The 12,814-nt window shown below is 42.1% G+C and overlaps 1 protein-coding gene across 368 annotated transcripts in view, besides 1 other annotated feature; it reads left to right on the top strand.

The window, feature by feature from the left end:
• The window catches only part of BRCA1 (BRCA1 DNA repair associated), a 126,033-nt gene that overhangs the window by 91,178 nt on the left and 22,041 nt on the right, over nucleotides 1-12,814 (top strand). For 230 of the 368 annotated variants that reach the window (NM_001407959.1, NM_001407931.1, NM_001407747.1 and 227 more), the window contains 4 exons: nucleotides 2,536-2,662; nucleotides 4,629-4,819; nucleotides 7,912-8,222; nucleotides 11,455-11,542. The exons of 1 other annotated variant lie outside the window; for it this stretch is intronic. In NM_001407959.1, coding sequence (NP_001394888.1) covers nucleotides 2,536-2,662; nucleotides 4,629-4,819; nucleotides 7,912-8,222; nucleotides 11,455-11,542 — 717 coding nt within the window. The remainder of the gene's footprint in view (nucleotides 1-2,535; nucleotides 2,663-4,628; nucleotides 4,820-7,911; nucleotides 8,223-11,454; nucleotides 11,543-12,814) is intronic. 137 more of the 368 variants (NM_001408458.1, NM_001407967.1, NM_001407839.1 and 134 more) reach the window with 2 other exon arrangements.
• Nucleotides 6,907-7,112: a silencer, noted in NCBI's record as "fragment chr17:41224055-41224260 (GRCh37/hg19 assembly coordinates)". NCBI's record gives its function as "represses an EF-1alpha promoter that drives an FKBP-Casp9 reporter gene in an ReSE screen in K562 erythroleukemia cells {active_cell/tissue: K562}" and the evidence as "EXISTENCE:reporter gene assay evidence [ECO:0000049][PMID:32094911]".

Below are 12,814 nucleotides of genomic sequence, written 5' to 3'. Positions count from 1 at the left end.
CAGGCTGGAGTGCAATGGTGTGATTTCGGCTCATTACAATGTCCGCCTCAGCCTCCTGGGTAGCTGGGATTACAGGCACCCGCCACCACGCCCAGCTAATTTTTGTATTTTTAGTAGAGACAGGGTTTCACCATGTTGGCCGGGCTGGTCTCAAACTCCTGACCTCAGGTGATCTGTCCACCTCGGCCTCTCAAAGTGCTGGGATTGTAGGCGTGAGCCACATCACCTGGCCACTTTTTTAACTCTTTCCAATGGTTAATTCCGTTTGATATGGTTCCTTGGAACTTGCACATTACCCTTTATCAATTATCACCCTGTATTGGGGGTGGGGAGGATGATACCTCTCTTCATAGTTAGATCCTACTTACTTTCAACAGAGTTCTTAACAATCCTAGAAACTCACAGGTCCAGAAAAGACAAGCATAAAGGAAACTATAAATAATGCATTTGAAGACTAACTCAGGAAATCAATGATTATTTCCCCCCAGGCTACCCAGTGTCTTAAAAAAACAGTTTAATTAATACAATCTTTTGTTTCAATTTTCTACCTATATTTATGGCTTTTAGCTTTTCTAATAAAAGCTCAAAATGAATTACAGTCATCAGTGACTTTTTAATGAATAGAAGACTTTTGCAATTTTTAACTATTTGTTTTTACTTATTAAATATTTCCGCCTTGGCCAGGCATGGTGGCTCACGCCTATAATCCCAGCACTGTGAGATGCCAAGGCAGGAGGATCACTTGAGTTTAAGAGTTCTAGACCAGGCTGGGTATGGTGGCTCATGCCTATAATCCCAGCACTTTGTGAGGCCAAGGTTGGCGGATCACCTGAGGTCAGGAGTTTAAGACCAGCCTGGCCAACATGGTAAAACCCCATCTCTACAAAAAATACAAAAATTAGCCAAGGGGTGGTGGTGGGCACCTATAATCCCATCTTCTTGGGAGGCTAAGGCAGGAGAATCGCTTGAACCTGGAGGCAGAGGTTGCAGTGAGCCGAGATCATGCCACTGTATTCCAGCCTGGGTAACAGAGCAAGACTCTGTCTCAAAAAAAAAAAAAAGTTTGAAACCAGCCTGGTCAACACAGCAAGACACCCATCTCGTTGAAAAATAACGGTCGGGCGCAGTGGCTCACGCCTGTAATCCCATCACTTTGGGAGGCCGAGGCAGGCAGATCACCTGAGGTCGGGAGTTCGAGACCAGCGTGACCAACATGGAGAAACCCCATCTCTACTAAAAATACAAAATTAGTTGGGCGAGGTGGTGCATACCTGTAATCCCAACTACTTGGGAGGCTGAGGCAGGAGAACAGCTTGAACCTGGGAGGCAGAGAGGTTGTGGTGAGCCAAGATCATGCCATTGCACTGCAGCCTGGGCAACAAGAGCAAACTCCATCTCAAAAAAAATAAATAAATAAAAATAAATAAATAAGTACTTCTGCCTTTAAGCCACTTCCTAGAAGGCAGTGGCACAAAGTGATACATTTGGAGGAGTAAATATATTACAAAATGAATTAGGCTGGGCGCAGTGGCTCATGTCTGTAATCCCCGCACTTTGGGAGGCCAAGGCGGGTGGATCACTTGAGGTCAGGAGTTCGAGACTAGCCTGATCAACAGGGTAAAATCCCATCTCTACTAAAAATACCAAAAAAACTAGCTGGGCGTGGTGGCAGGCACCTGTAATGTCAGCTACTAGGAAGGCTGAGGCAGGAGAATCGCTTGAACCCAGGAGGTGGAGGTTGCAGTGAGCCAAGATTGCACCATTGCACTTCAGCTTGGGCAACAGAGTGAGACTCCGTCTCAAAAAAAAAAAAAGAACTAACATGCCAGAACTTTGCCTTCAGTATGTTTTGTGATTTTTCCCTTCTTGTGCCATTTCATCATTAGTTCCATGTATTATTTAAGATTTCTTATCAACCAGCACCTTGGGATTTTTTTGTGTATGTGTTGGTTTAGGGGGTTTATTTGTTTTTTTCTTTTTTTTCGGTAATTGAAAATGTGAAGCAAAATGTCACCTGTTTTTTCTTTCATGTCTGACACTCATGTCTTGTTTACCCCCGACATGCAGAAGCTGAAATCCCCATTTCATACAGTCTTCAATGTGGAGGCAGTAGGGATGGAGAAAATAATGTACTTTGTGCTCTCCGGTACTCTTTCTTTCCTATTGTCTGAGGGGATTTGGGCATAATTTATTTTGCTGCAGAGATAAAAATTTGTTATATATATTTTTTATCATTCAGGGCCAAGGAATATAGATTTTTTTTTTCAGCCTTGTCTCAGCTGGGTGTCTTTATTTACTCTGTCTTAAAGTGTTCCTTTTATTATCATTATTATTTTTTAATCATTGAATTCCATTTGGTGCTAGCATCTGTCTGTTGCATTGCTTGTGTTTATAAAATTCTGCCTGATATACTTGTTTAAAAACCAATTTGTGTATCATAGATTGATGCTTTTGAAAAAAATCAGTATTCTAACCTGAATTATCACTATCAGAACAAAGCAGTAAAGTAGATTTGTTTTCTCATTCCATTTAAAGCAGTATTAACTTCACAGAAAAGTAGTGAATACCCTATAAGCCAGAATCCAGAAGGCCTTTCTGCTGACAAGTTTGAGGTGTCTGCAGATAGTTCTACCAGTAAAAATAAAGAACCAGGAGTGGAAAGGTAAGAAACATCAATGTAAAGATGCTGTGGTATCTGACATCTTTATTTATATTGAACTCTGATTGTTAATTTTTTTCACCATACTTTCTCCAGTTTTTTGCATACAGGCATTTATACACTTTTATTGCTCTAGGATACTTCTTTTGTTTAATCCTATATAGGTTTTTTGAACCTATAACATAAGCTACAACATGAGAAATGTGCGGTTAGATAGATATGTCCCTTCTGAAGGTCAGAAAAAAATATAATGGAGGTAAAACCTGAACAAGCTTGGAAACTGATGGTAGACTTCTTCAAGGCAGCCCTTGCCCTAATTAAAATTCTTGTCTTTCTAGAAAAAGTCTAGCTGTTGATTTACCACAGAAAATAATAATAATAATTACTATTATTATTATTTTTTGAGACAGGGTCGCCCTGTGTCACCTAGATTGCAGTGGTGCAGTCATGGCTCACTGCATCCTCCGTTTTTCAGGCTCAAGCAATCCTCCCACCTTAGCCTCCTGAGTAGCTGGGTCCACAAGCATGCGCCACCCACACCCACTAAGTTTTTGTATTTTTGGTAGAGATGGAGTTTTACCTTGTTGCCCAGGCTGGTCTCAAATTCCTGGACTCAAGTAGTCCGCCCGCCTTGCCCTCCCAAAGCCAGAAAACATTTAGAATATCTTTCAGAGATGTGTATTTACACCACTATTAACACAGGGCTGTATAGCAGTCCAGTACTGGACTATGTAGTCCAGTACTATTCTTTTCCTTACTGGAGGGCCAGGCGTGGTGGCAGGTGCCTGTAATCCCAGCTACTCAGGAGGCTGAGGCAGGAGAATTGCTTGAACCTGGGAGGCAGAGGTTGCAGTGAGCTGGGACCGTGCCATTGCACTCCAGCCTGGGCGACAGAGCAAGACTCCGTCTCAAAACAAAAAAAAAAAGAGAGAGAGAGCAGTAATTCAGGTCTCACCCATCTTCAATCCAGGGGGCCTAGCCTTAGTATTTGACCCATAGTAAGCACCCAATAATTGTTTAAATTAATTAACCTCTGAGGCCCTTTAAATCTGTTGATAAGTATCTTATTTTGCAAAGTCCTAAGCACTTGGAAGAGCAGAGGAACTATTTACTGGGTGTGTATGCTTTTCTAACAATATTTTATAGCTGGCTTTTGTTTTTAGAATGAATTTGAACATTGAAAAGGCAGGCAATAGGGATGATTCTGTGAATTCTGCTAAAACTGAGTAGAAAGAATGAGTGTAGAGATGTCGACATTGATCAACTTTCTATCTTCATAAGAGATCTGATTCTAACATATCCATTTAGACTCAAGTAGAATATTGTGTATAGAGTGAGTGGCAGTGAGTAATTTGGTAAAAATTTGCTGACCTGCTTTTATTCTTTCCTCCTTTCTTTCTTCCTTTCCTTCCTTCCTTCCTTCCGTCCTTTCCTTTCCTTTCCCTCCCTTCCTTCCTTCTTTCCTTCTTTCTTTCCTTTCTTTCCTTTCTTCCTTTCTTTCCTTCCTCCCTTCCTTTTCTTTTCTTTCTTTCCTTTCCTTTTCTTTCCTTTCTTTCCTTTCCTTTCTTTCTTGACAGAGTCTTGCTCTGTCACTCAGGCTGGAGTGCAGTGGCGTGATCTCGGCTCACTGCAACCTCTGTCTCCCAGGTTCAAGCAATTTTCCTGCCTCAGCCTCCCGAGTAGCTGAGATTACAGGCGCCAGCCACCACACCCAGCTACTGACCTGCTTTTAAACAGCTGGGAGATATGGTGCCTCAGACCAACCCAACCCCATGTTATATGTCAACCCTGACATATTGGCAGGCAACATGAATCCAGACTTCTAGGCTGTCTTGCGGGCTCTTTTTTGCCAGTCATTTCTGATCTCTCTGACATGAGCTGTTTCATTTATGCTTTGGCTGCCCAGCAAGTATGATTTGTCCTTTCACAATTGGTGGCGATGGTTTTCTCCTTCCATTTATCTTTCTAGGTCATCCCCTTCTAAATGCCCATCATTAGATGATAGGTGGTACATGCACAGTTGCTCTGGGAGTCTTCAGAATAGAAACTACCCATCTCAAGAGGAGCTCATTAAGGTTGTTGATGTGGAGGAGCAACAGCTGGAAGAGTCTGGGCCACACGATTTGACGGAAACATCTTACTTGCCAAGGCAAGATCTAGGTAATATTTCATCTGCTGTATTGGAACAAACACTTTGATTTTACTCTGAATCCTACATAAAGATATTCTGGTTAACCAACTTTTAGATGTACTAGTCTATCATGGACACTTTTGTTATACTTAATTAAGCCCACTTTAGAAAAATAGCTCAAGTGTTAATCAAGGTTTACTTGAAAATTATTGAAACTGTTAATCCATCTATATTTTAATTAATGGTTTAACTAATGATTTTGAGGATGAGGGAGTCTTGGTGTACTCTAAATGTATTATTTCAGGCCAGGCATAGTGGCTCACGCCTGTAATCCCAGTACTCCAGGAGGCCGAGGCAGGTGGATCAGCTGAGGTCAGGAGTTCAAGACCTGTCTGGCCAACATGGTGAAACCCTGTCTCTACTAAAAATACAAAAAAATTAACTGGGTGTGCTAGTGCATGCCCGTAATCCTAGCTACTCTGGAGGCTGAGGCAGCAGAATCACTTGAACCCGGGAGGCGGAGGTTGCGGTGAGCCAAGATCACACCACTGCACTCCAGTCTGGGTGACAGAGCAAGACTCCATCTCAAAAAATATATATATATATATATACACACATATATTTTATTTCAACTGTTAGACAAGAGTCCAAAGGCCAAAGAATAAAGTTTTAGGCCAGTCCTTTATTAGAAAATGAGTCAAATCCCAAAGCAAGTTTTTTTTATGAGTTAATGAATATAAATGACTACATATTTTATGCCTTAAAAATCACTTTTAATGAATGGTGTTTTATGGCTTGTAAATCAGAGTTTTAATCAGTAAAGAAAGTTTTTAATCCTCAAAAACACGTTATCATAAAAGACACTGTTTGGCATCAAATGTGGTATTTGGCCATGTTCATTAGGGTCATTTTAGGAATCTCATACATTCTACTTAGCTATGCTTAATTCCTGATACCATGGCATTTTCTGAAATGTTTCAAGGATGACATCTCTGCTGTTTTTAATTTGGTAATGATATCTGCTGATTTATTAAGTGAAAAAAGTAATGGTGTCATTACCTTGGATGAAGAAACAAAAATAAAGCATTTGCCACATTTTTCAACTTTTTTTTCCTTTCTTACAAAATTGCTATAAGCTCATTGCCCCCAAATTGGACAATATAGGGAATAAAAAAGATAATTTGGGGTGGGGTTAGACACGGGTCTTGTTATGTTGCCGAGGCTGGTCTCTAACTCCTGGCCTCATGCAATCTTCCTACCTTGGCCTCCCAAAGTGCTGGGATTATAGGTGTGAGCCACTTCACCAAGCTGAGATGCCACCTCTTAAAAGATAAAATAAGGACAGATTACAGCCACTGCTCATGCCTGTAATCTCAGTACTTTGGGAGGCCAAGGTGGGAGAATTGCTCGAGGCCAAGAGTTCAAGACCAGCCTGGGCAATGTAGCGAGACCTGATCTCTATAAAAAGTAAAAAAAAAAAAAAACTAGCTGGGGCCAGGCGTGGTGGGTGGCTTACGCCTGTAATCCCAGCACTTTGGGAGGCCGAGGCGGGCAGATCACCTGAGGGCAGGAGTTCAGGACCAACCTGACCAATATGGAGAAACCCTGTCTCTACTAAAAATACAAAATTAGCCAGGCTTGGTGGCTTATGCCTGTAGTCCCAGCTACTCGGGAGGCTGAGGCAGGAGAATCGCTTGAACCTGGGAGGCAGAGGTTTCAGTGAGCTGAGATCGCGCCATTGCACTCTAGCCTGGGCAACAAGAATGAAACTCCATCTCAAAAAAAAAAAAAATCAGCTGGAAGGTGGCAAACACCTGTGGTCCCAGCTACTCAGGAGGCTGAGACAGGAAGATCACTTGAGTCCAGGAGGTCAAGGCTGCAGGTGAGCCATGTTTGTGCCACTGCACTGCAGCCTGGATGACAGACCGAGACCCTTCTCAAAAAAAAAAATATTACCCGTACTCTTTTTTGAGACGGAGTTTCACTCTTGTTGCCCAGGCTGGAGTGCAATGGCGCAATCTCGGCTCAGCGCAACCTCCGCCTCCTGGGTTCGAGCGATTCTCCTGCTTCAGCCTCCCCAGTAGCTGGGATTACAGGCATGCACCACCACGCCCGGCTAATTTTTTGTATTTTTAGTAGAGACAGGGTTTCTCCATGTTGGTCAGACTGGTCTCGACCTCTTGACCTCAGGTGATCCGCCCACCTTGGCCTCCCAAAGTGCTGGGATTACAGGCCTGAGCCACCGCACCCGGCCTGTACTCTTATTCTTTAATAATAAAATATTTCTGTGTTTCTTTAGTCATTTTACATAAACTTTTATTTATTTATTTATTTTTATTTATTTATTTTTTTGAGACGGAGTCTCGCTCTGTTGCCCAGGCTGGAATGCAATGGCTCAATCTCAGCTCACTGCAAGCTCTGCCTCCCGGGTACACGCCATTCCCCTGCCTCAGCCTCCCTAGTAGCCGGGACTACAGGCGCCCGCCACCACGCCCAGCTAATTTTTTTTTTTGTATTTTCAGTAGAGACAGGGTTTCACTGTGTTAGCCAGGATGGTCTTGATCTCCTGACCTCGTGATCCACCCGTCTCGGCCTCCCAAAGTGCTGGGATTACAGGTGTGAGCCACCGTGCTCGGCCCATAAACTTTTATTTTTAAAATAATGTCATGATAAATAATATTGCTTAGGTGTCTTTAATATATTAGTAACATTTCTGTTTTATTGTACATCAACATTTATATTCAAATTAATGGGTGAAGAGTACTCCATTGGACTAGGTATATCGTAATTTAATCTCCTATTATTGGACAACTACATTGTTTCTAAAATTATACTATTCCTATGACTAAACCTTTGCATATATCTTTTATCTCCCTAGGATATATTTCTAAAACTAGCATTGTTGACTGAAAGTGTAAATACGTGTTAAGGTGTTTGCTACATAATGCCATATTTCCTTTTTAGGAAACTAAGCTACTTTGGATTTCCACCAACACTGTATTCATGTACCCATTTTTCTCTTAACCTAACTTTATTGGTCTTTTTAATTCTTAACAGAGACCAGAACTTTGTAATTCAACATTCATCGTTGTGTAAATTAAACTTCTCCCATTCCTTTCAGAGGGAACCCCTTACCTGGAATCTGGAATCAGCCTCTTCTCTGATGACCCTGAATCTGATCCTTCTGAAGACAGAGCCCCAGAGTCAGCTCGTGTTGGCAACATACCATCTTCAACCTCTGCATTGAAAGTTCCCCAATTGAAAGTTGCAGAATCTGCCCAGAGTCCAGCTGCTGCTCATACTACTGATACTGCTGGGTATAATGCAATGGAAGAAAGTGTGAGCAGGGAGAAGCCAGAATTGACAGCTTCAACAGAAAGGGTCAACAAAAGAATGTCCATGGTGGTGTCTGGCCTGACCCCAGAAGAATTTGTGAGTGTATCCATATGTATCTCCCTAATGACTAAGACTTAACAACATTCTGGAAAGAGTTTTATGTAGGTATTGTCAATTAATAACCTAGAGGAAGAAATCTAGAAAACAATCACAGTTCTGTGTAATTTAATTTCGATTACTAATTTCTGAAAATTTAGATCTAGATAAAGCTATAGTGTGGATTATTTTATGTATATTTACTTGAGAAAATAATTATTAAATATTAGTGGAAAAGCTATACTTTGGGTATGATATAGGACTTTCGAATTGGAATTTTCCTTTCTATCTGTAAAAGCAAGTAGGTATAGTTTTATTCCCCAGAAGGCATCTTTTTCTCCCCCTTGTCTCACATGGGTGAATTTACCAGCATATTTAACTAAATTCAGACTGGTTCCAAATGTACTGCCAGATAGTAGCATTTCTCTAGTGTTTGTTTTCATCCTGGCTTGTAAGAATGCCCTGCCACTTCTGCCCTGCAATATCCCTTGCTATTAGGATTTTGGCATCACCTTGGGTCCTTAATGCCAGAAATGGGAATTGCTTCATACTGTGGAAAAATACCCATTAAAATATTAAGACCAGTAAAACCTCGTTTCTGCTTGGGCTATTTGTGGATTTCAGACATCCTGAGAAGTTTACCACCCCTGTAATTAATTGTCATTGTCATCACTTCATAATAAAAATAATTGCATGGCCGGGCATGGTGGCTCAAGCCTGTAATCCCAGCACTTTGGGAGGCTGAGGTGGTCAGATCACCTAAGGTCAGGAGATCAAGACCAGCCTGACCAACATGAAGAAACCCCATCTTTACTAAAAATACACAATTAGCCGGGCGTGGTGGCGCATGCCTATAATCCCAGCTACTCAGGAGGCTGAGGCAGGAGAATTGCTTGAACCCGGGAGGCGGAGGTTGCGGTGAGCCGAGATTGCACCATTGCACTCCAGCCTGGGCAACAAGAGCGAAACTCTGTCTCAATAATAAGAAGAAGAATTGCGTGAATATTTCTTTAAAACTATGATGAGATAACATACCAGATTATCAAATGGATTCAGTAGTGGGTGTGCCATTTATTGCACACTGAGAGATGACCAAGTCATTCTGAAATATCTTTATTAATATATCCTTCCTAGGATTTTTCATCCTAACTTCTCCATAGGTAGTTACTTAGCATAACATCTCTGTGGCCAGATGTATCCCACTACTAAAAGGGCAAAGTAAGCTGTGGCTGCCCTGGTAGATACAATGAGTAAGTGCACAGTGATGGCTATAAATGTTTTCATCTCATAATCCCATGTCCAGACCAGCAATTTGCTCTGAAAGCTCTTACCTGTGTCTGTTTCAATGGCTCTTGATCACTTGCCTGCACGTCCAGAATTCCTTATTTATTCATTGAAAATTAGCGTTCTTTATCCCTTTGTTTTGCAAGTTCAGCTTTTTAGAGATGGCTAAAATGGTCTAATCTTTCTTGGCAAAGGCAATTCTGAGCTGCAGATTAGACTACAAGTGGCTTGGGTACATGTTGTCTTTAAACAAGCGAAGAGGAAAACTTTGAGCTCTATTCAGACTTGGTGAAGTGTGGTAAATTTATGATGAAAGCTACTGACTGTATTACACATGATTAATTCTGAAGCCCATATTAAGATGATCTTTTCAGCAGTTCAGCATTGCTCTTCTAACTGAACAGTTTCAAGGCTGGGATTTCAGCAATTAATCAGTTCAGAATTGCTAATGATCCTGGCGGAGGGTGGTAGCAAAAGGGGGAGGATGTCATTAGCTTCTCTAGCCTGCCTTTTTTCAGTGCCCTGTGGCAGTATGGAGTGAGGCAACATGAAAGAAAGATGGCCTGACCTTCATGGCAGTATTGTGCAACACGTAAATACTGGTGTGAGTGGCTGTGGCTATGGCTAGTAAATGATGGCCCTTGGTAAACAAAGTTATTTATCAGACAATACCTACCAGCTAGGTCAACTGTGCCCATAATTGATCTGGTTAATTTCTTTTGCTGCCTATTGATTTTTATTTGGTTGATAGATAATAGCTAGAGGACTCTAAATTTCTTTGGGGAAGAACATGAACCCCTTCTAAGCCTTCTTACGAGAGAATTGATCGCTTTTGCACTGACCTTTAGTAACATCCTGATTTCAGTGTTTTGTAACTATCAGAGGGTTGAGTCTTGGTTTTAAGCCATGTATATCTGTAGCATAACTTTCTGTGTAGGCTAGTTACCTCTCAGCTTATAAAGTGTAGGCTGATAAATTTATAGTACAGTAGAGTGTCACTATGCAAAGAAACGATCTTAGGGAATCGAATGATATCTGCTATTAAAGCAAAATTAATATATATTTTTTCTTTTTACTTTTTTTTTTTTTTAAAGACATGAAATCTCACTGTATTGCCCAGGCTGGTCTTGGTCTCAGACTCTTGAGCTCAAGCAGTCCTCCCACCTCAGCTTCCCAAAGTGCTGGGATTATAGGCATGAGCTGCCGTGTCTGGCCCAGTATATATTTTTTAAGTTTTAAGTTTTGTGGTACGTAGTAGGTTTATAATATTATTTTGAATCCTTAGTTGTAATTTTATGTCTGCTGATGTGTACATAATTTTTATTAAACTATTTATTTGAGACTTCAGGTATCTTTTTTTTTTTTTTGAGACGGAGTCTCGCACTCTCGCCCAGGCTAGAGTGCAGTGGCGCCATCTCGGCTTACTGCAAGCTCTGCTTCCTGGGTTCACGCCATTCTCCTGCCTCAGCCTCCTGAGTAGCTGAGACTACAGGTGCCCGCCACCACGCCTGGCTAATTTTTTGTATTTTTAGTAGAGACAGGGTTTCACCGTGTTAGCCAGGATGGTCTCGATCTCCTGACCTTGTGATCTGCCCGCCTCAGCCTCCCAAAGTGCTGAGATTACAGGCGTGAGCCACCGCGCCCAGCCGAGACTTCAGGTGTCTTAGAATTTTTTAAATGTACCCTTTCTGAGAAAAACAGAGACTTAAAGCTAGGATAACTGGTATTCTATTTTTTTTTTTTTTTTTTTTTTACCTCCAGCCTGGGTGACAGAGCAAGACTCTGTCTAAAAAAAAAAAAAAAAAAATTCACTTTAAATAGTTCCAGGACACGTGTAGAACGTGCAGGATTGCTACATAGGTAAACATATGCCATGGTGGAATAACTAGTATTCTGAGCTGTGTGCTAGAGGTAACTCATGATAATGGAATATTTGATTTAATTTCAGATGCTCGTGTACAAGTTTGCCAGAAAACACCACATCACTTTAACTAATCTAATTACTGAAGAGACTACTCATGTTGTTATGAAAACAGGTATACCAAGAACCTTTACAGAATACCTTGCATCTGCTGCATAAAACCACATGAGGCGAGGCACGGTGGCGCATGCCTGTAATCGCAGCACTTTGGGAGGCCGAGGCGGGCAGATCACGAGATTAGGAGATCGAGACCATCCTGGCCAGCATGGTGAAACCCCGTCTCTACTAAAAAATAAAAAAATTAGCTGGGTGTGGTCGCGTGCGCCTGTAGTCCCAGCTACTCGTGAGGCTGAGGCAGGAGAATCACTTGAACCGGGGAGATGGAGGTTGCAGTGAGCCGAGATCATGCCACTGCATTCCAGCCTGGCGACAGAGCAAGGCTCCGTCTCAAAAAAAAAAAAAAAAAACGTGAAAAAATAAGAATATTTGTTGAGCATAGCATGGATGATAGTCTTCTAATAGTCAATCAATTACTTTATGAAAGACAAATAATAGTTTTGCTGCTTCCTTACCTCCTTTTGTTTTGGGTTAAGATTTGGAGTGTGGGCCAGGCACGGTGGCTCACACCTGTAATCTCAGCACTTTGGGAGGCCGAGGCGGGTGGATCACCTGAGGTCAGGAGTTCGAGACCAGCCTGGCCAACGTGTTGAAACCCCGTCTCTACTAAAAATATAAAAATTAGGTGGGCGTGGTGGCAGGCACCTGTAATCCCAGCTACTCAGGAGGCTGAGGCAGCAGAATCGCTTGAACCCAGGAGGTGGAGGTTGCAGTGACCCAAGATCGCACCATTGCACTCCAGCCTGGGGACAAGAGCGAGATTCTTGTCTCAAAAAAAAAAAAAAAAAAAAAAGGTTTGGAGGGTGGTGAGCTGAGATAGTCAACTATTAACTCCTATCTACCTGCTGGGACTACACTGGTGAGGTGGAGCCTAAGTCCTAAAACAACAAGTGAGGCAGCTGGACGCGGTGGCTCGCATCAGTAATCCCAGCACTTTGGGAGCCTGAGGCGGGCAGATCACAAGGTCAGGAGTTCGAGACCAGCCTGGCCAATATGGTAAAACCCAGTCTCTACTAAAAATACATAAATTGGCTGGGCGTGGTGGTGTGCACCTGTAATCCCAGCTACTTGGGAGGCTGACACAGAAGAATTGCTTGAACTCTGGAGGCTGAGGTTGCAGTCAGCTGAGATCCTGCCACTGCACTCCAGCCTGGCGACAGAGTGAGACTCTGTCTCAACAACAACAAAAGAAAGAACAAGTGAGGCAAAACCTGGAGACCCCAGCTTCATGTAACACCTAGTTTGAGTATTGTTGAGAGTTTTTCAGGAA

The sequence above is a fragment of the Homo sapiens genome, chromosome 17 (genome assembly GCF_000001405.40).
Source record: "Homo sapiens chromosome 17, GRCh38.p14 Primary Assembly".
Classification (NCBI taxonomy): Eukaryota; Metazoa; Chordata; class Mammalia; order Primates; family Hominidae; genus Homo; species Homo sapiens.
The sequence above is the reverse complement of the archived record's forward strand: the minus strand, read 5'-3'. Positions and strand labels throughout refer to the sequence as shown.